The sequence below is a fragment of the Homo sapiens genome, chromosome 14 (assembly GCF_000001405.40).
Source record: "Homo sapiens chromosome 14, GRCh38.p14 Primary Assembly".
Classification (NCBI taxonomy): Eukaryota; Metazoa; Chordata; class Mammalia; order Primates; family Hominidae; genus Homo; species Homo sapiens.
The window spans coordinates 26946895-26971075 of record NC_000014.9 but is presented as its reverse complement, the minus strand read 5'-3'; the positions used below and the strand labels follow the sequence as shown (position 1 = coordinate 26971075).

Sequence of the window (24181 nt, the reverse complement as noted above, 5' to 3'; positions counted from 1 at the left end):
TATTGTTTTTATCACTCAAAGAACTGACTTTTATTACAATCAAATTTGTAGGCTCCAAATTTTGACAATCTTTTCCTTCATACCTATGTCCATGTAAATATCAAATCCCAATCATATTTCCTTCACCCACCTTTTCCTTGAGTTCCAATATCTTCTCAATATAAGTTCTATAATACATGGCTCCTGCCTCCCTTCATCTCAGCTCTACACTCTCACCGGGTGGCCTTCCTAAAATACAGAGCTCTTTATGACAATATCCTGTGGAAAATTATTTCAAGGTTATTTATTTTGTGAAAAAACACCGTGTAGTACAAAATAATATATACCCTATGTATAAAGTTTATAAATCCAGAAAAGAACAAAGAAATGAATCACCCCGCATATCCCTCATCAACTGATAACCAGAAATAATATTTTTAATAGTACCAGTATCTGCTTTCAGCCTAATTTTCTAAAGAGTATTAAACTTTTATGTGATAAATAATCTTCTAAAACATGAGGTTTCATGAGCATTTCACGTTCCAAGATGTATTCTAATTCATTTAACTGTATCACTATTTTTGGACATTTAATTGAAATTCAGTTTCTCAATATTATTTATAATATTGTAGAGCACTCGTTTTTAAATCACTTCTGATTTTTTTCCTCTAGGATGAATTCCTAAAAGTGGCAATTTTGAGTCAAAGGGTTTAAAAATTTTCAGAAATAATGAACCAATTTTTACTAGCATCAGCAGAATACGGTTTCTCCTAAAACTTCCCCAATTCCTTAGTCCTTGTATAAATTTTACAACCTCAGCCTGGCTTTCAAAACTCTATCTGACCCTATTTCATAATACTATACGTATTTTATCAAGACCATCATGGTTCCCTGACTCTCACTTAAATACAACACACTCTTTCTTGTTCTCAGGCTTCAACTTATGTTACTCATTTTTTTTTTTTTCTTTTCTTTGAGACGGAGTCTCGCTCTGTCGCCCAGGCTGGAGTACAGTGGCGCAATCTCGGCTCACTGCAAGCTCCGCCTCCCGGGTTCACGCCATTCTCCCGCTTCAGCCTCCCGAGTAGCTGGGACTACAGGCGCCCGCCACCACGCCCGGCTAATTTTTTGTTTTTAGTAGAGACGGGGTTTCACCATGTTAGCCAGGATGGTCTCGATCTCCTGACCTCGTGATCCGCCCACCTTGGCCTCCCAAAGTGCTGGGATTACAGGTGTGAGCCGCTGCACCCAGCCTCATTTTTTTTTAGAATGATCTTTCTCTTCTACCTATACAAACCATGCTCACTCTCTCAAAGCCTTACTTACCTGACACATCATCAATTGGCTTTTCTTCAGAAATCCCTTTCCCTTTTCTCTGGACTCATATGTTATTACCAGTAGTTTTGATTTTGATTTGATTTGAATTATTTATATAAAATATCCCTAAGTTTTAATTTAACTTAATCCTTCCTCTCTAAAACTATTAGTTGCTTAAAATTTTACAACATTTGGCTAAGCATTATAAGCATCTTATAATGCTTAGTGAATATATGTCAAATGAATAAAGAAGTAAAAGTTACTGAGATAGTAACTTAAACATTAATGAAACAGTCAGTTAATATTATATTCATTTTATTGACTAGTTTTTCCTTGACAGTTGAAATTTAGCAAGATCTTGTAAGAGGTCACCATGAAAAACTATTTTTGGAATATTTTATTTTCTCAACTATCCTTTTCTTTGTCTTTGTATTTTAAGAAAAGTTGAAGTGATTAAATTACAATCAGATTTCACCCTAAACTAACCTTAAAGTAAGTCATAGTGGGCACTGTAAAGTTTTCCCCCAAAATGTGTTGTACTCAGAAACTGAGTACTCAGAAACAAGAGAAGAAATAAAAACAATGACGTATTCCTGGAAATTAGGAAGAGGATTTGTTTCATTGCAAAGCTTGGTAAAGTACCAGAATATCTTCCTGAAGATTCATAATTTCATGACCATAGTCAATCTTGACAATAACTTAACAATTAATGCTTACAACAAAATTAGAAAAAAGGCATAGAATTTGATTTATAAGTACATTCGGGGTAGCAGCCACTAGAATATGGATGTAAGATTTGTTTTGACAGTTCCTTACAATATAAGTTTGTGATACTTTGATAAAAATGTATATTATTGGCTGGGCGTGGTGGCTCATGCCTGTAAATCCCAGCACTTTGGGAGGCTGAGGTGGGCGGATCACGAGGTCAGGAGATCGAGACCATCCTGGCTAACATGGTGAAACCCCGTCTCTACTAAAAATACAAAAAAAAAAAAAAAAAATAGCTGGGCGTGGTGGCGGGTGCCTGTAGTCCCAGCTACTAGGGAGGCCGAGGCCAGGGAATGGCGTGAACCCAGGAGGCGGAGCTTGCAGTGAGCCGAGATTGCGCCACTGCACTCCAGCCTGGGTGACAAAGCGAGACTCCGTCTCAAAAAAAAAAAAAAAAATGCATATTATTAGCTCCTTCAGTTTGGATAACATTTGCCAGATCTTAGAATGATGCTGACTAAAATTATGATCTTGACTTCTTTATTACAATAAGATATTTTTAGATGATATTAAATTTCATTTAGTTGTACAAGACCTCAAAGCCACCAATAAGAGAGCACTAATTTATTCTGGGTGTTCTGATACAGTAGAATTTTAGGAAGCATTAAGCTTATATAATAATAGTAGTTAAGGGACTACTCCTACCTCAAAATGACATTTCTGGCTCTATTTTTTTTTCAAAATAACTTTGAAGTAAAGATTTCAGACCACACTCTGCCTCATGTTACATAAGTTTGGTTATATTAAATGTCTAACTATACAAAAAATGAGAAGAATAAAAAATATCATTTAAGATACAAAATACATTCCAACTTTTATCTCATCAGAGCATTTGTTTTTGTTTTTTTTCTACTTACTTCTAAAATGCACTATGAGTCTACAAATGGCTAAACACTTGGTTTATACTCTGAATGATTATCCATCACCATGAAAGGATCTAGAAGTGCTTCTTCAATTTACAATTATTATTTATCTTTAATAATGCAAAGGAAATAAGGGAAATCTAATTAACTCCTCAAGGACAAAGAAAGGTTTCAACAAGTGAGTGACCTGATATTAAAGAATCAGAGATGCTACTCAGCCTCTGACTTTTCCAGCTTCTGCTGTACTCTTGTGAAGATGTACATCCTTCACTGATCTAAAGCAGGGTTATAAAATATAATAGAATTAGGAAATTGCCGATGCAGATCATAAAATCTTTAATCTAAAACTCTTTAATGAAGTTCTAATTTTTCATATAGACATTTTAGTTAAGTCACAATTTTACATTTTTAATCTTTAATAATTTATCTACCAGTAACAGTTGAAGAATAAAAACAAAATACTCAGGAGAGCTAAATTTCTGATTTATGTATTTGGAAGAGTACTAACTGTCTACATCCCAAAGATTTTGCAATAATTTTGCACGTGTTATCTTTTTAACTCTGGAAATATCACTGTGACTTAGATTATCTGATCTTCATTTTTATAGATGAGGACAGGACAGTCAAGCTTATGTAAGATAGTTCAGTAATGTCACAAAGAGGAAAAAAAAACAGTTAACAAGTCAAAATCTAAGGCAGTGATTTAACTATTAATTTTAGGAAAACAGAGAATTTGCACTTTAAAAGGATCATGGAAAACCAACCGTAAAAAAGAGAGAATGCCTGCTTTGTTTTTGATCCTGGACAGGAATTCTTTAACATCTCACTGATAATCTGAATAGGCTATGATCCCAGGTCCAAGAACTGAATCCAACCAGCACCTGTGCATGACGCTGAGTCATCTATGTGATACTTCTTGCTGCCTTGAAAGGACCTCATGCCTAGAACAGAAAGTACTTTCAGGGAAAGAATGGCATTGACTTGACCTATTCCCCAGCTGCCTGGAGAGTAGTTCACACACGTCTAAGACTGTTTGCCTATCCAAAGGAAGCTTTAGATGAATTGCTCATTCATCATCCCAACGTCATTAATTCAGGGTTGATCTCTGTGAGAGTGCTCTATGACTCCTCAGTAATATAAAAAAAGGCTAAAGTTATACAAACAAGACAACTCTGTCCTCCAATCTATTGTGTAAGAAAACTTACAATGTCTTTCTGTGTCTTCCTAGGTTGCTATGATTCCCTGCTAATGAAAAGATGAATAAAGGCATATGTTAATGAGGAATCAAGTGCAAATTGAATGTAAATAAAAGGAGGAACTTCTAGTCATGAAAAAATATTTGAAAGTGATTTCTCTTCCTCTGCCTTTTCCTCAGAATTAAGTTGCTCATATTATTTTCTTTATTCCTCCAACAGAGGTGCTGAGAAAATAAATCATTGATATCTAAGATAATTTATGTCTATGTGTATGTGAAATAAGAAGCAAAACTGTTTAAATTCTTAATATAAAAGTGGTTAATATCCTCATTTGCTGTTCAATATGTTTGACCAGTATTTCCAGGTTTTTCATAATGAAAGACTGGTTTTCATGAATTTATAAGTAGTCATTTTTTTAACTTAGAAACTACACAAGAAAAAATAATCTGAAATTTTCTAATAAGAAAGATTTAAAACAATATGCTTTTTCTGTGAGTCTCTTGATGTGTGCATATCATTAATTCAAAGTGAAAAATTAAATCTTTGCAAAATTTTTGTTTGCATTTAACAAAAGATGAGGGAAAAAAGTTAATTTCTTCAGAAGGCTACATAATCAGCATCATAGCTATTTAATTCTTTAATTCTTTCCCCACAAGGTTTTTAGTAACATCACTCACAAATATCAATTTATATTATTTCTATATTAATAAATAGAGTGAATGCATTAATATGCAATGGAGATATGCCACAAACTAGCTTCCAGGTATGTTAAGTCTCCTACAGTTTGTTATTTATGAACAAATAATTAGGCAAACAAGATGAAAAATTTGGTATTTACTTTTTACCTGAAGTGTTCATAAATAACATTGAAAAAAATAAATGATAATGCCTAGAAATCTTACAGAATCACCTACAATTAATTCAGGATAACACAGAAAGTCAAAATCATGAGGCAACAGTTGTCAGTAGCTAACTAGTTTCCTATAATGCCAAAACTATGCTTGTCAGACAGACAACCATCTCTGAATAAAGTAGAGGAAACGAGCTGTACAGAGATGCTGCTTAACAACCAACGTAACAGTCTGATAAGCAATATATAATGACTTCCGACTTACTCCTACCCTGTCTTTGACACCAGACCTCTGGGAACTGCTGGAGACCACCATCTCAATAAAATTCTGCACATAAAAAAATGTCCATTTTCTGGCTTGAGATTGGAGTTATGGTTGCCATGGTGATACACCTTGCTTTAGACTTCGTTGATACAGAAAGGCTTTGCATTTCACTATGGCAAAAGACAGCAGCTTGTCACTTATGCAATCTACGTAGAGAAGTTAATTTCAGGAGTTTACAGGGAGAGCTCCTATTTTCTGAACCCAACTGCACAATCCTTCTAATAGGGTCAATTTTCCAACGCCACTTGCCGGTAGATTTTGACCTATCCTCTTCTAAGACGTGGTGTTTGTCTGGAAATTTGCGTACACTGAGAGTAGCTACAATTTAGCTCAGGCTCCATCCCTTTAAGCTTTCACTATACTCACTGACCTCTTTCCATTCATGAGAGCCAGGCCTTCTTAATTAGTCCCAAATTTTTATAACCCCTGGAAAATAAATTATTAGCAGTCCATATAAATAAAGGGCTGAATAATTACAATAAATGTAAAGTTCTTTGAGATCAAAAATTAGGATTTTTTTGTACTTGCCTAAAATATTTTCAGAATACTAATAATATAAATGTTGATTAAAAAAACTAAAAACTTCATAAATACTTCATGAAGCATTTTTCTTTGACTCCTATCTCTGTATATCCTCAATTTACACTTCCTTATGTCTCCACTGTCACATCCACCTACCTTGCCCTTGTGCTACATAAAAATCACATTCACGCATTAGAACATTGCCTCACCATTTTCTCTTCCTTCCCTTGAGCCCTTTGACTGACAAGCTCTCCTCCTGCCTCTGGACTCGGCATCTGTGACACTTCCTCAAGGACTTCTTCCTTGTTCTACACCAGTCTCTCAATCTTCCTCCATCAGTGACAAGATGAGAGTTCCCTTATACTTTCTCCAGTAGCAATCAGGACTCTTTATATTTTTATTTTTATTATCATTTGTCCATTCATCCCTTCAATGTCTGTCTTCATCACTACACTGCAAACCACATGAAAACTAGAATTGTGCCTGCACAATAGGTCTCCTGTAAATAATAAATGCTTGAGGTGATGGATATCCCAACAACCCTAATTTGATCATTACATGTTGTATGCTTGTATCAAAATTTCACATATACCCTAAATATATACAATTATTATGTATACATAATTTAAAATAGTAATAATTATTGATCACTAAAGGAATGAGGAAATAAATTAATGAACTTATTAATGAATAAGTGGATGCCTTGAAGACAACAAAGAGGCAATAAATGTCTTTGCTTTTGTTAGTGTATGTATTTGATTTGCTTTAATTGTGGCTTATCACTGCAAAAGTATTTTAAACTTCAATTGTTTTCTAATATCAGACAGTGAATTTACTTATAAAGAGAATCTTTGTTTTATAACACTTATAATTGACAAGACAATATTATTTTCAGTTGACATTATGACCTACTTTCAAGATGAGCAATGAGCGTTGGAGTGTTGATTCAACACTCACTGCCCACTGCACAGACCACTTGTATTTGGGGGCTCTAAGAAGAAACAAATCAAGCAAGTTCCCTGTCCTTCAGGAGCTTGCAATTTATTCTAAACCTCCCTGGAAAACACTACTGCCCTCCAAACAAAATAAACAAACAAACAAAGAGAGCTTAAAGACAATGAGAAGGAAATATAGTCACACATTTTTTGTTGCTGTTGTGTACATTTAAACAGAAACTTCCCTAGCACTCGTCTCTATCCCCCTGGGGCACTTCATTGTATGTCAGATATGGCTTGAGGTTATGCGGCAGAAAAAGGTATAATCCTTGCTCTTATGAAGCTCATATTCCAGTCAGGAACACAGACTGGAAGATAAATCATTCTTATGCAACAGGGCCAGGGCTCTCCCAGAACTGGGACGAAGGTCTGTGGGAGCCTAATGAGTGAGAGGGCTAAACTGCATTGGAAGACAGCAGTTTTACGCAACAGACCACAAAGAGCAGGGTCTTCTTGAAAGATGAGTAAGCTATGTCAAGTGGACCAACAGGGAGAGGACATTATTAGAAACAGGAATTGCCTGGGAAAGGCAGGAACTCTTCATAAGATATGTTTTTAAATCAGTGCAGCAGTCATGATTGAATCTGATTTTAATGAACAAAGTGTTGTAACAGAAACTACCAAAGGATAAAGTAGAAACAATCATTTCCAAGGTTTCTCTTGGATTTCTATAACTGGTAATAATCCCATTTCTCACAATGCTAAATGTCTTCACCACAGAAGAATATTAATAGAGTGGTCTTTGTAATAGACAAGTTGATACCAATACCACTACCAATACCAATTGCTTTTTGACATTGTTAAACTCACTATTCTCCCCCAGTTTTATCTGCTTTAGAGCTAGCTACACTGCTGAAATGATGTATGCACAAAACCACACAAGAATATTTTCTCTGATTACTTACCTAGAAAACTATTGAATAGCCCACAAAGCCAAACAAGTTAAAATTTCCATTAAATTGTGAGAACTTTGCAATTTGAAAAGATTGTCTATGTTTTAAGATACAGAAAGTATGATTTAATGTTCTCTTAGATTGAAGGATGACAGCTGGTCTTTATTAAATGATGCCATCAGGAAAGAAATTTCTATTTGGAATGAAACTTAGAAGAATGTTCTCTTGGTCAGAAATGAAGGAAATTGGAGTTTGCATAACAATCACAAACAAAAAACACTTTGATTTTCATATATGCAGATTTTTGTTTCTGAAAATTTGTGTATTTCTTAAAATACTTGGAGAATGGATTGGTTTGTTTCTGTGAATTTTACACAAGGTAGACTTTATGAACTTATATTTTTCTGGAAATAAAGCTGTTACTTTATTTTAAAGCTACTTTTGGAATATTTAATTGTAAAAAGCATTATAAAATAAATTGGGATCATTTCTAATAGTAAAACAAAATATTCAGGCTGGGCACAGTGGCTCACGCCTGTAATCTCAGCACTTTGGGAGGCCGGTGCTGGTGGATCACCTGAGGTCAGGAGTTCGAGACCAGCCTGGCCAACATGGTGAAACCTTGTCTCTACTAAAAATACAAAAATTAGCCAGGCGTGGTGATGCATGTCTGTAGTCCCAGCTACTAGGGAGGCTGAGGCAGGAGAATTGCTTGAACCCAAGAGGTGGAGTTTGCAGTGGACTGAGATCGTGCCATGGCACTCCAGCTTAGGTGACAAAGCAAGACTCAGTCTCAAAACAAACAAACAAACAAAAAACAAATAAAAAAACAACAAAAACAACAACAACATAACATTCAGAGACAAGAAATTCTGCCCACTGTGAGTAACATTTATGGACATGTAATATCACAAGATTGGGATGGGAGGAATTTGGACAACGGAGTATCTACTTTATCTTGGTTTAGAAGGAATTAAACAATAGGTGGTAATATTTTTATATCATGTTAGAAATTGCAAACATCAGAGTAATTTTGGATCTGTCTCTAGTTTCCAAGATTTCCAAGTATCAAATTTTGCAGTACTCATATTTTAATGTTTCATAGGTTTTCAGAAATGATTTGCTAGATTAATAATGTTTGCATTTCCAAAATAATAGCAATTTAATTCTAGTTCTCTGAGAAATGTTAGATATTTCACATATTTGTTTGTGGAGTTGGGCAGTTCAGACTAAAAACTTCATGTAGGCACCACAATCATTCTGTAATTACCAACTAGATTCCTATCTTTTTGTATCCACCCAATTATAGTTGTGATTTGATGAAGGCCTTACTTAGAGAAGATACTCAGTGTGTTTAGAGATGTTTTTTGCAGGGAGCTAAATGGGCTTCTAAGAGCTAGTTTTATTTATATCTAAACATTTATCTCACCTGCTGACTTTCTTAGATGAATTACTGGAAAACATACTTAGAAAATAGATATGCGAGCTTAGTACTTATGTGCACTTGTGAGTGTGTAAAAAAAAATTAGTATTGTTATTCTCACATTTTTCCCTCCATACAGTGCATGGGCTATGCATGTAATTCAACCAACTTCCCATATGGACATACAGAGAATAGTTTATAAATACATACATAGGTGAAGCATATATCCACATGGGCTCAATCTATTCTTGTTGCAGTGAACTCCATAAGCATCACAGTTTTCATCTTCTTGTTTTCCCCCTACAATAGCAAGATTTCATTGTATGCTGCTAGGAATCATATTCCCAGTTGTGGCTGAGGGTAAACAAATGCAAAACAGGATCTCTAGGTCTCTTTATTGATGCTGCCCTGGGAGGAGGCAATGTATTAACAAGTGGGGGAAAAGTTGGGAAGGAAGGGCACTAAATTCAATGCAGTGAAAGGAAGGAAAGAGACCTTCAAAGGAAAATCACTTATTTTTCAAGTCTACCTGATAAACAAATTAATTTCCTTTTTCTTCCTCCAGGCTCCAAAATGCCTGTGTAGAGGGTAGGGGTGATAGGATTGCAGATAGGAGGGAAAAAAAGGCATTAGAGAGAAGATAGAATTCTCTGTAGTGGATGTTTGTAATTATTTAAGGTGACTACTTTCGAGAGAATTTAGGGTATCTTGTTAAAGATAGCTTGCTGCTCAGATAAATGATTCCACTTGGAATTTAAACTACTTGTTTAAATTTGCCAGTGGAAAGAGACCCAGAAACAACTGGTACTTATGTGCACTCCACACATCAGTCCACAATGGCACTCTTTCTAGAGTTTGAGAATGTTAATAATAGGAACTTCTATGCAATGCATTATTTGCTGTAAATATTGACACAGAAAATACACTTGTAACCGAATTAATAAAGCAGAAGTCTATGGATTATTAATGGAAACATGGAATTTTCAATAGTTGTTAAAGTGTTTGTTACAGGTAACTTGCTTTGTGCAAGCATTCTTCAATATCCTAATACGCATTTTGTTCACAAGGTGTGACTGTATAAAAAACCATCCACTTCTACCAGGAATAGCGTTTCTGAAAACTAGATTATGGGATCATACACACTGGATATACTTCTTTTCCAGTTGCTCTATCTACATGATAGTTTTGAATATTGATGTGACTGATCTGTTGACACCTTTGTTATTTAGGAGACTTAAACTCACTACCCTGTAGCACTGTTCCCACCACAGGTGACTGCCCTTCCCTTTTGTTTACTTCACTACAATTATTTTCTTACACAGTGGAAGCAAACGGGGGGATTTCCACTGTTGGTAAATAAAGGGCCGTGCTTGAGTGCCTCTTAATAGCTTATTATCGTGTGTAATCAAACTGAATAACTGCCAGAAAGGAGAGTTCCTGTGCACTGGCAGATGCCCGTGGGCTGAGCTCTGCTCTGGAATGTCACCACACAACAAAGCCCTGGATGGATAATGCATCAGCAGCACTGGGGCTCTAGGCATGTCACGCAGGTGGGGAGAAATCAGCGAGGTGAGGTAAATATAAGTGTGCCAATGACACGGGAATGGTATTAGATGGATAGGGGGCAAGTGAAAAGACAAAGAAGCCAAGAAATTGAAGAAAACAGCTTTCACCACTAAATGGAAATTACCTTGAATGCTGCATTGCACCAGTGACTTTGACAGCTGAAGCAGCAGCAAAGAGAACTTGACTAAGATATTGCCCGTGCTGTTTGCTTTGCAAGGGGCTAAGTGTGGTTGACTTTCGCCTGACAAGATCAATCACCGTTCATACAACACAATGAGCCAAATTCAAGAATGCTTTCTTGGAGGCATTCATAAAAAGACTGAAGAGCAGTAGGCTGTTTCTATGTCTGGATCCACAGGGACACAGAAATACATTTGCTAAATGGCCATTTACCTATGACTTTTTTTTACTTATTATATACAATTTCACTTTGTGAATGTTTACAATTATATGTATATAATTAAACTTTGGAGGGCTTTATCGAACAGAAAATAAGTTCGCAGATTTTAGATCATCTGAAAGACACACTTGCTTTGCCCCATGTTAAACAGGATTTCAGACTTGAGCCTCCTTTTCTTGCCTCTCTCTCTCTTTACTGTGTTCTCCTATGCAACATGGTATGAATATGGCAGATTGGCAAGCACTTGCTATTTGGCTTTGCAATAGGTTAGCTTTGTCATACACATGTTCATGCACACACACAAACACACACATACACACGCACACCAAATCAGGTGAGCCTCATTATAGGCTGGCATTTCTTGTGACAGACAAGTAACATCTGTGCTGCTTTGTCTGCAAACAGTGTGTCTGTTGGGGAATCTTATTCACAAATCCTTTAAAACACACAGCCTCCCCCTTCTTCTCTCTCTCCTCTTTTTGCACGAGGATGTGAATATGAATTGAAATTCCAAATTAACTGTTCCAGATAAAGCTTAAGGTTTTCATTAATATTTAAATTGAACTATCAGATGTGATGTTGTGATATTTCATACCAACAGCTTGCACAGAGAGGTTTTTAAATATTAAGGTTTCATCATTTTAAAAGGAAAAGAGGAATTGTTCTTTTCTTTAAAACAGTGATAGTGTTGAAACTAACCTGAGCTATGTAAGTAACAAGAAAAAAATGAAATTAGCCAAATAAGCTTAGGGATCATCTCTGTCATTGCCCATCACCTTGAACACCAGAGCTCTCTGCTCTGTAAGATAGGCTCATTCCGGCACTTTTTTTTATTATTTTTTATTCATTTTATTTATTTATTTATTTGCTTATTTATTTATTTATTTTGTGATGGAGTCTCGCTCTGTCACCCAGGCTGGAATGCAAGTGTGCAATCTCGGCTCACTGCAACCTCTGCCTCCCACGTTCAAGCAATTCTCTTGCCTCAGCCTCCCCTAGCAGCTGGGATTACAGGCGACTGCCACCATGCCTGGTTATTTTTTTTTTTTTTTTTTTTTTTTGTATTCTTAGTAGAGACAGGTTTTACCATGTTGGCCAGGCTGGTCTCTAACTCCTGACCTCAAGTGATCCACCTGCCTCAGCCTCCCAAAGTGTTGGGATTAAATGCGTGAGCCACTGCACCCGGCCATCTGGCACTTTAAAGAGAAGAACTACAGTTGTTCAGCTAGCAGCTATTTGTTTGGCTCTTTGCAGTACCTGACATGAAATATCCACTCAGTAAAGATCTACTTACTACTGAACAAACAGAAATGTGAGCTAGATGTTGTGGTAGACACAAACACATAATTAACAGCCTTCATCCTTGATCATATTAGAGTTTTGAAAAAACATCCTCATGATTCCAAGAATAAAAATGGGAAGAATTTCTAGAACAGGAATGACAAGAATTAGATGATCCAGAACAGAAGGTTCATGTAAGGGGTAAGTAGAAGTCACAGCTGAAAAGAGAAGTTTAGGCCAAACCATGGGGCATCTTGAATGTCAGAACTTTGAACTTCTAATTGATTCCATGAGAAAGATGCCACTGAAAAATGTTTTGGCAAGAGAGTGATATGGAAATGGGTGTCTTGGAAAGATTAGCCTATCTATCCCAGAGTCATCTCCATCTTTCTAGTGGAAAAATAGAAATGTTTAATAGAGGCAATTTCAAAATTTTCCAAGTGAGAAGCAACACACCCTTCAAGCACTGGGACTATGGCCACGTTTCTTTGAGCTATTGATCTTTTAATTATTTTATAATGACTACATCAGTCTTTGATATGCTCTTATGTCTAATTAACTGCTCCTTCTCTATCTTCTTTGCAAGCTCATCTTTCTTTGCCTGAATATTAAATGTTGGAGCATCTCCTACATGCTAGGGTTTAGACTCCTCTCTCGGCTGCACACTTCTTTCGAAAGCTCTTTTTTAAGCTCCTTTTTTTTTTTTTTACATGCATGATTATCGCAGCTACCTACCAACAGATGACATACAAAACTATATCTTTAGCCCAGCTATTGCTTCAGCACTTGGAGCTTATAGCCAAGTGCTTAATTAAAATTTCCTCTTGGGCATCTTAAGAAAAATTATCACCAGTGGAGATGCTAATCATGTATTTAATATTGTCTGTCTTCCCTGTACAAAAATATAGGCTCCTTGCAGGAGAGAATTTTTGTTCACTACTGCATTCCCATGTCTACAACACAACCTGTCACATAGATGGCACTTAAACATATTTTTGAATGAATAAATGACTGAATCTTTGGTCCAAGCTATGATCATCTATTATTTCCAGGGCATGCCAAGTTAACAGACTAATTTAGTCGCTAACATTGTTTAGAATTACTGGCACTTTCTGATAGTAAAAAAAAAAATTGGCTTTTAATTGGTTATATTATTCTTTTTAAATTTTCAACAAACAATGCACTCCTGTATTTCCCAGAACTAAGACGAACAGCTCCCACCACCTTCCCCTTGGTAAATTATTGATAATTTTTTCCTCAACGATTTCTCTCACCACTGAATTAGTTGATTTTCACTCACTTTTTTAAATTTCAAATTTCACACCATGGTCACACGCACCTTTAAATATATATATATGTATATATATAAAATATATATGTGTATATATATAAAATATATGTGTGTGTATACATATAAAATATATATGTGTATATATATAATATACATGTATATATATAATATATATGTGTATATATATAATATACATGTATATATATAATATATATGTGTATATATAGTATATATATTTAAAATATATATATATATGATCATGACAATGCCCTACTGAAAGCATCAAAAAGACTTCCTATTGCTACAACAAAACAGCACGATTATCACACATAACAAGGCTTTGCATGATCCAGCTCCTACTTACCTCTCCATCCCTCAGTGAGTAACACTTCTCTGCTCATGAATGCTCTTGATCTCTCTGGTGCAGCCACACTGGCCTTGTTGCCTTAGGCTCTTATATTTGGCATGACACTGCACTACTCAGAAGATTCCTCTTCTTCTCTTCACTTAGCTAACTGCCTGCATTGTCCCCTTAGATCAAGGTATAGAGATGCTCTTCCCAGGGAAGACTTTTTGATCACCTTGATTCAGTCGAGTGTTCTTTACAGGAATTAGAGCTACAGCTCCATGTTTGTATGTGTCTAGTTTTGTTCACATTTACAAGTTATTAACAAATACTTACTAGATGTCACCCATAACTCATGCACTTACTAGAAACTTGCAATAGAAAAGCCAACAATTGCAATTATTTACTGCTCTAGACAAAAGTAAAGGAGACAGATAATAGCCAATATAACACATATTATAATGTTAAGTGATACTAAGAGAAATAAAGAAAAATAAAACAGGGTAAGTGCTTAGGGGTACAAGAGAGTATTATTTCAGGTAAGGTGGTCAGGAAAATTATTTTTTAATTAGAGATATTTGAAAAAAGAACAGAATAAAGGAAAAAGTGTTACAAGTGGAGGAAAGAGCAAAAGCAAAGGACTTGAGGTAGTAGTATGCCTTATAGGATCAAAATCTAGCAAGATCACTAGTGGAACTCGAAGTGAGTGAGCACAGGGAAAGTGAGATGAGAACAGACACAAAGGGCTTGAGATCTTATGGGATATTATAGGCCAAGAAAAGAGCTTGCAATTTGGATCTTATTCTGAGTGTGCTGGGAAGGTGTTTAAAAAGAGGAATGTAATAATTCAATTTTAGTTTTACAAGGTTCAAAGTATCTAACGTGGAGAAAAGTTATGGCAATGAAAGAGCAGAAGCAAAGGGCCCAGTTAGCATGCTGTTTCGCTAGTATGGACAGTGATGGCTCCTGCCTGAACAAGGAGGATAATGATAAAGATGATAAGAAGTCAGTTAGATTCTGAATAATTTCTGACAATAGAGCCAACAGAACTTACTGATAGTTTGGATGTGGGGTAAAAGAGAAAGAAAATAATCACAGATGACTCCAAGTTTTGGGTCTGAGCAACTAACTGGTTGAATGGTTGCTCATTTAGTAAAGTATGAGACATTGGGAGAAGGACAAGTTGATGAAGATTTAAGTTTTGGATATGTTAATTTTGTGATAGCTATTGAACATTCAAGTAGAGATGTCAACTATGCAGCTGGATATATGAGCCAGAGTTCAAGTATTAGGACATTATTTATGTCGCTGATTTTAAAAGCATCAAAATTAACAGAATTTAAAAGAAAGCTGTAATGCATTCATAATTATTTAAAAATAATGACTTACTTTATAACAGTCAAGGCAGGGCCAAACTATTTTTGACTTGGATATGTGCTACCATCAGAGAAAACCATGGCCATGAATACATTATACTATTCTAACCTCAAATACTGATACCACCAAAGTAGGTGCTAAATACTGACTATTTTGTTTTTATTTTCTTTTGATAGGCAGCATAAGAAAATGACAGCAACTCAGCCTTTGGCACAACATTGCCCTAAAGAGAATTTAGAGGACACAATTTGATAAACTGTCTAAAACTAGAAAATCAGAAAAGATGAGAGAATATATGTAATAGAAAAAGTAGTGGACAGGGAATTTGCATTTGAGTTCTGGCTCTTTCAAAAACATGTTGTATAACCTTAAGACAATATCCTCATTTCTCTGGCCTTCAATAAAATCTGCTCCGAAAAGCTGCACAATCTTAGTATCTTCTGACTTAAAAGGAAATTAGCCTCATTTTCTTGATCACTTGGTTTTCAAAATGGCCTGTTTTTTTTTTATATTCAAGTTTACTTTATTTTAGTTGGCAATATTAACACCCATTTCAGAAACTCCTTTATCTGGACCATATGTCATTAATACAATATTTTTCTTGCGTATCAACCTCCTTAGCTACATAGTAAGTAGAGAACCCTTAGCTTATATATGTTTTTACACCTTGGTTAGCCATTTCATGGGGACAAAAATTAACTCCAACCAAAAATGACAATGTGTAAGTAACCAAGGATGCCAGGAGGGAGTGATTCCTATAGTGATTAAAGAACAGTTCCATGAATATTTTCATCTGTATGGACTTAAAAAAAAACTTTGAAAATACTGTATCAGTGCTGCCATTTAATAAATAATGAAAGAATAATCTAATTAAATTTTTAAAGTACTTTTAATATAGTCTCCCTTTAACTTGTCTATATAGTCTAGAAATATTTGAGGACACTCATCCATAGGGAAAAGGTTCAAAATAAATATTAGGGCTATAGGAACTCTTTATTTTCCATATTTAAGACCCTTTACTTTTCATAATGAGTACATATATTTTGTGAAAACTTAATATATATCTGCAGTGCAATGCTTCTACTTTTTAACTTTTATTTTAAGTTCAGGAGCACATGTGTAGGTTTGTTACATAGGTAAACTTGTGTCATAGAGGTTTGTTGCACAGATTATTTCAGGACTTCTTGACATACTGCTTTCTGGAGAAATAAATGCTCGCACTTTGACAGTAGGAACTACATGACTACACAGTAAACAGACTTTTTTTTACTCTTTCTGAAACATAGTTAGAATATAAAGAAAGGATATTTCACAGGAACCAGATTAATTTTTATTTAATAAATGCAATGTATGACATTATTAAATAATATAGAACTTGTGAATAAAATAAAATTGTATACTATTATTACAATGGCTATTTACAGTCTAACTTACCTACATTTAATTGTCCTTAGTTTTCACAGAAAAAAGCTAAAGGCTTTCCATGAAATAACTCTTTCCTCTTTCCTGGCGAATATCTCTACTGACTCCTTTGCTGTGTTTTCCAGTACTTAGCTTCCCAATCTGTGTTCAACAGAACATTAATGCTCCAGATGTTTATAGGTGCTCTACAGTAATAGCAATAATAATAAAGAAGTAAAAGGAGACCATGTTGAAGGAAGTTGGACAAATGTTGCATGATACATTTAGAATATTAATGGCTCTGTAAAGTCACAGAGAAAAAATAGTTGACTGAATTTGTTTAAACCAACAATTCCCATACTTATTGACCAGAGGCAATTTTTTTTAATTACATGTAAACAATTCCCAGGCCCATTCCCAGGCACCTTGTATTGTATAGGAAACAGGTTTATTTTTTAATTTTTATTATTATTATTTAAATTGATAGATAAAATTATATACATGTATTGTGTAGAGCATTATGTTTTAAAGTATATATACATTGTGGAATACAGTTTTGAAAACAATCCCCAGGTAGTTGACAAATACCTCTAATATATAGCAGTTTCTGCATTGCATTCTATTAGACAATGACCTGTATATGGGTAGAATCTTGTTTATTATTATATTTCTAGATTCTTTAGTATGTCTAATTTACAGTGTTTACTAGTATTAAGTTGATTATGGTATAAATTATTTCATTTAATTACATTTTAATATGTGACATTTATACATGGAAATTCATTATTTTTTTATTCAAAAGTATTTTTGGCCAAATCTCAACATATTTATTACATATGTTCATGCAGTCTTTTAGCCTTCTGTTACTTTCCATTTTAGACTGGCTTGTTAAAATCATATCCATCCTGCAAATACCATTTTCTCTGTGAAGGTTTCCCTGATCCTTTCACTGATCTCCCCCTTCTTCTAATTTCTTATAGCACCCATCCTCATTGCATCTTGGTTCTCAGCAAATTTTCTACTTAGTGGTGCACAGCATTTGTGGCTATGCCTCATCTTCCATATGCCTGATCCAGATTTGCAGCCATCCATGCACTTTTCTCTGTGTCTGTACAGACAAGGATTCAAAAAAAAATACTTATTGAGAATATGAAGAAATGGCTATCCTAATAAGACAGCATTGAATTGGGAAACATTTGCCATGTGGCTCTTAATCATGTAACAGTGAGGAAAAAAAAATGTTTGAAAGCATTTATCCCAGTTGTTTGCAAACCTGGCTAATTATCCAAACTGTGCTTTTTCGAAGCTACACATTGTAACACCCTATTGCAGACCTGAAGTTCAATCTCCAGGATGGATTTAGAACCCAGATTGCCCAGATTATTTCTAACCTCTCTGCCTCCATTCCAACAAAGAAGGTGGATTCTACGACCCCTTCTCTTTCTCCACAATATCATCTGAGAGGCTGACATTGAACACCCAGAGACCAAAAGCAAAGCATAAACTATGGCTCCGTGGTAGCCATCTTTCCTGCAAACACAGTGACTTAGCCAGAGCTACTTACAGATTATCTGCTATAGAAGAAGGCCAAGAGGAGTTGGGGATAGCATGGAATTACTTTCAGTAACTACTGTCCAACAACATTAGAGCCGCTGGGAGAGATGGTACAGTACAGACCAAGCAAAGCCGAATCTCTGAGGCAACGTCCAGAAATCTGCATTTCTGTTATATGTTAATGCCCACTAAAGTCTGAAAGAAAGTGGAATATTAATAAGGATTTGAGATTTGGGATCAAAAAGACCTGTCTTTAAATCACCTGTTTACATATTTAACTGGCTATTCACTGTTAGGCAACTGTACAATAGAAATAGTAATACTTATTTCACAGGAGTTTTTATAACAGTTAAGTGGGATAGAATAAGTACAACGTGCCACGCAGACTCTAACAAATATTTGGGACTTAATAAGTAATAGCTTCTTTTGTGGTGTAATTGGTGGTGATGGTGGTGAAAACACAAGCAGAAGATCTGCCCCAGCCCGGAGTGTACTGTGGTTCATTAATGCATTTTGTAACACCCATATTTACCCTATTTTCTTCCCATTGACCAATTCCCTGTGGATCTGTAAGATTCTATTTTGTACACATATGGCAGTTCACATAGCACAACTCTTTTGGACACTTTATCTACATAGCAAAACCCAATAACTTCTATTATTATGAATACTTATGCTTCAAAATGAACTTTTTTAAATGTTGACTTCATAAAAATTTTGATATGCAAAACATTTTACAAAGAAATTTTATTTAATGGTGGTTTTAACTATTAATCTACTTTTGCAACTAAGAAAAATGGAGGTTGAGAACTGTTGGCTATCTAAAGCCCACAAAGGAGGTATATATGTGGCAGAGCTGAGGCTCCAAATCCGTCTATCATTACACCAAAGCAGCCTGCTGGAAACATTTTTTAAAAGTTAAAGAAATACTTACTAAACATATTTTTTATTCTAATCCATTACAGATTCATAATGCCTATAAAATAACTCTACATCAGAATATTGTATTAATACTGTTATGAGATTACAGTCTTATAGGAATAAGGAAAAATCTGGCCCACAGATAACATGAAGAAACTGTTTTATACAATAAATACCAGATATATTTTATCTGTGAACAGGTAGACCATTTTTGTAGTTCAAATATCCAATCATATTAAAACATATGCAACGTACAAATTCCCTTTCCCATTGAACTCTTGGCTCTATCCACACAGTTGCCTTTCCTGATGATGGCCATACATTTTACAGTTCCATGTGAATCTCACCTCCAAAAGTTATGACCATCTGCAGAAGCCCGGGCCCACCTCCCTCCAAAAGCTAGCCACTATTATAAATATTAGGGTTTCTTTATGCTTATGCAATTAAATATGACAAATATTATTCATTTCCCTCATTTTACATAAAATACACTATATAATCTCTATTATTAAAAATATTGTTGTTTTCTTTTGTTTTTATCCACATGACAACATGTATTGGCAATGTTTTCATCGATGTATACACAGACTATCTTAATTATATTCAGGCTATTATTTTACCTTGATACAACAAATTTTTTTGAACCACACTGTATTAATGGATTTTTTCAATCTTTTGCTATTATAGGCTGAATCATATGAAACTGCCAGCCTTCAACCATTTTTGATTCACATCAATGTCAATGTTACATAGTTCAACCTAATATAAGCAATGCTGGAATGAATTACCTTATATATTTGCAATTTTGCACAGAGGTAAGTATACTTCCAGTATAAATTCCCAGAAAGACGTAAAAGTACTAGGTCAAAGAATGTGTGTGCATATTTTTAATATATTTTGTCTTAGACATGAAGTCCTTGCCCATGCCTATGTCCTGAATGGTAATGCCTAGGTTTTCTTCTAGGGTTTTTATGGTTTTAGGTCTAACGTTTAAGTCTTTAATCCATCTTGAATTAATTTTTGTATAAGGTGTAAGGAAGGGATCCAGTTTCAGCTTTCTACATATGGCTAGCCAGTTTTCCCATTTATTAAATAGGGAATCCTTTCCCCATTGCTTGTTTTTCTCAGGTTTGTCAAAGATCAGATAGTTGTAGATATGCGGCGTTATTTCTTAGGGCTCTGTTCTGTTCCATTGATCTATATCTCTGTTTTGGTACCAGTACCATGCTGTTTTGGTTACTGTAGCCTTGTAGTATAGTTTGAAGTCAGGTAGAGTGATGCCTCCAGCTTTGTTCTTTTGGCTTAGGATTGACTTGCAATGGCAACAAAAGCCAAAATTGACAAATGGGATCTAATTAAACTAAAGAGCTTCTGCACAGCAAAAGAAACTACCATCAGAGTTAACAGGCAACCCACAGAATGGGAGAAAAATTTTGCAACCTACTCATCTGACAAAGGGCTAATTTCCAGAATCTACAATGAACTCAAACAAATTTACAAGAAAAAAACAAATAACCCCATCAAAAAGTGGGTGAAGGACATGAACAGACACTTCTCAAAAGAAGACATTTAGCAGCCAAAAAACACATGAAAAAATGCTCATCATCACTGGCCATCAGAGAAATGCAAATCAAAACCACAGTGAGATACCATTTCACACCAGTTAGAATGGCAATCATTAAAAAGTCAGGAAACAACAGGTGCTGGAGGGGATGTGGACAAATAGGAACACTTTTACACTGTTGGTGGGACTGTAAACTAGTTCAACCATTGTGGAAGTCAGTGTGGCGATTCCTCAGGGATCTAGAACTAGAAATACCATTTGACCCAGCCATCCCATTACTGGGTATATACCCAAAGGACTATAAATCATGCTGCTATAAAGACACATGCACACATGTGTTTATTGTGGCACTATTCACAATAGCAAAGACTTGGAACCAACCCAAATGTCCAACAGTGATAGACTGGATTAAGAAAATGTGGCACATATACATCATGGAATACTATGCAGCCATAAAAAATGATGAATTCATGTCCTTTGTAGGGACATGAATGAAATTCGAAATCATCATTCTCAGTAAACTATCGCAAGAACAAAAAACCAAACACCGCATATTCTCACTCATAGATGGGAATTGAACGAGAACACATGGACACAGGAAGGGGAACATCACACTCTGGGGACCGTTGTGGGGTGGGGGAAGGGGGGAGGGATAGCTTTAGGAGATATACCTAATGCTAAATGACGAGTTAATGGGTGTAGCACACCACCAAGGCACATGTAAACATATGTAACTAACCTGCACATTGTGCACATGTACCCTAAAACTTAAAGTATAATAATAATGAAAGAAAAAATATATATGTATTTTGTCAATTTACCCACCTTAAGGATTACACAAATTTACGTTCTCAATAGCATATATGAGTGCCTATCTCCCTATAGCTTCTCCTTCAGAGTATCGTGAAACTTCGGAAAATTTGCTGAAGTAATTACTTTAATTTACTTTTCTCTTACCATAATGATTTTGAGCATTTCCTTGTGTATGTGAACCAGTTTTCATTTCCTCCATGGTGAGCTCTATTTTCAAAATCTTTTCTCTTTTGCTTCCTGTTGTTTTTTGGGGGATTTCCTTATTGATTTTCAGATTTTTAATGTTAAATAGATTAGCACAGTCTGTGGTAGGAGAGGTAAATATTTCTCCTCAGCTTGTTTGTCCTTTGACTTTTGGTACATTTTTTTTCTCTCTCTCTTATTTAACAATCTGTTATGTCCTTTGCTTTGAGTCCAATTCTGAAATTTCTTTTCCTTCCATGTCAATTATCCCATATTTTCTTCTAGCACTTCTATAGTTTATTATTTACATTTAAATATTCACCTATTTGAAATACATCCTAAGAAGCATTGTGACACTAGTCCAAATGATTTTTTTTAGATATCTCTTCTGTTCTCCTAATACCACTTACTAAATAGTCCATCTTGTCTCCAGTTGATTTTTAGATGCTTATTTTAACATGTACTTAATCCGCATATGTATTTATCTATTTCTGGAATATCTACTCGTTTTCTTGATATACCTCTCTATTCTTGCACTATTACCACACCATTTTAATTTTCAATATTTTATAATATATAAAAATATCTGTTAGACTGGTTCTCATGTTCCTCCTTGTCAGAGTGTTCCTAGCTATATTACATATTTTTAAGTTCTCTGGATTTTTAAAAAATCGAATATATAGTTTAAAACTAGGTAATACATTTATATGTTAATTTTAACAAATGCATTAATTGCTGTGGGTCCTATACCCAATTATTCCCCTGTCTTCAAAGTAACTATTGCTGTAAGTTTTTGTACCATTCTAGAATTTATTCATGTATATACAATAAAATTAGTCTGATTTATCCCTTTCATTTTATACATACTAGTTTACTATACATTCTGCTCTATATCTTTTACAAATAATCTTTATTCAAATAAAATATTATGGAACTAAAAAATATATAAGTATCTTGCAATTAAAATAGCCAATACCCATTCTCATTTAGAGTACAATCTAAATATTTCTTATATTTACATAATTGCTCTTTATTAAGAGGGTGATAAGCATGTATGATGCCACCACTAACTGGAATCTGAAATTTCTCAGTTGTAATCTTGATCATGACCATTAGATAGCATGAATCACATTTATAACTCTTCAGAAAATTCAAGGCACAATGGTACTTGTCTTCTTTATGGACCATGCTACCTGATGTAATTTGAGGCCCTTTAAAAAGCTTTTTCTCTGTTCTTCCTTTGGGACTTAAAGTTGCTTCAAATTTCCTATGTAGAGACCCACCATTCTAGAGTGATGCCTATTATTTCCTGTACAAATATGCCTGAGATTAGGGAATGTTCCACTTAAAAAGGACATGACTATTGTGAAAAACTTGATACCATACTGGACTAAGCATCAGAATTCCTGGGCTTTGATTCTAATGCTGCCAGATATTATTGGCATGACCCTGAGTAAGTCGCTTAAAATCTTTAAGCTCAGACTCATCTTTAAATTGTCTCAACTGTCATATAGTTTTTACTAGGACCAAATATGTATATATACATATATATATATATATATACCTTGTAAATTGGAAGTATAATACAAATATAGGGAATAATTATAAACATCATTTTTGATAGAGGTCCAAATGGAAAAATAATAAAGGGTATTGGCCATTGAAGAAAGAGGTAGCAGAGTCACCAAGTACAAAATGTCAGAAAACAAACATCACAATTTTTCTGACGGCCACTCAGAGCAGTAGCTTATCTTCAGCTACCTGGCTTCTTCCCAATGCCAGTGTCAAAGCTCTTGCCACTGTCCTCAACTGCAAGGTGAGCAGTGAAGAAGAAAATCCACAGGGAACAGTCCATCAAAGAGGCAGATCAAGCTCCTTTATGGATGAACATATTAAGGAAGTGCATATTTTAAATAATAATGATTTAATATTAATAGTACAAAAATTAAGAGCAAACATATAAATGCTTTCTACATGACAAGCACAGTCTGAGCACTTTACTGTCATTAACTTATTTAATCCTGATAACAATCATCTGAGTTAGGTAATAATGAAGAAACCGAGGCATGAAAAGATTAAGTAAATGACACACAGTCACACAATTTTAAGTGTTGAACCTGGGATTAAAATCCAGTCATTCTGCTCACTTTAATCATTGATTATCTAAAATGTTTCTGATAATTATTGTTTATTTTGTGTTTTTCCCAGTTCCCTGTGGAATTGTTCTTCCATTTAAATCTTGTAGTTAAAATAGTATAATGTTCCATTGTATTGAAGTTCTAGTCAATAACCTTATGTTGCTGAATATTGATTTAACTACTCAAAGAATCGCAAATATCATATGTGTTCAGTC

At 34.9% G+C, this 24181-nt stretch overlaps 1 long non-coding RNA gene across 2 annotated transcripts; it reads right to left on the bottom strand.

Moving 5' to 3' along the window:
- Positions 1-20123, bottom strand: LOC105370419 (uncharacterized). 2 transcript variants are annotated; one of them, XR_001750687.1, is made up of 3 exons: positions 16827-17252; positions 3692-3868; positions 1-258 (listed from the first exon to the last, which is right to left on the bottom strand). It is a non-coding gene; the product is annotated as an uncharacterized LOC105370419 (long non-coding RNA). The 2 variants fall into 2 exon arrangements; XR_001750688.1 differs by lacking the exon at positions 1-258 and adding an exon at positions 18358-20123 and having other exon boundaries at positions 3376-3868; positions 16827-16999.
- Between the last annotated feature and the right edge of the window lie 4058 nt (positions 20124-24181).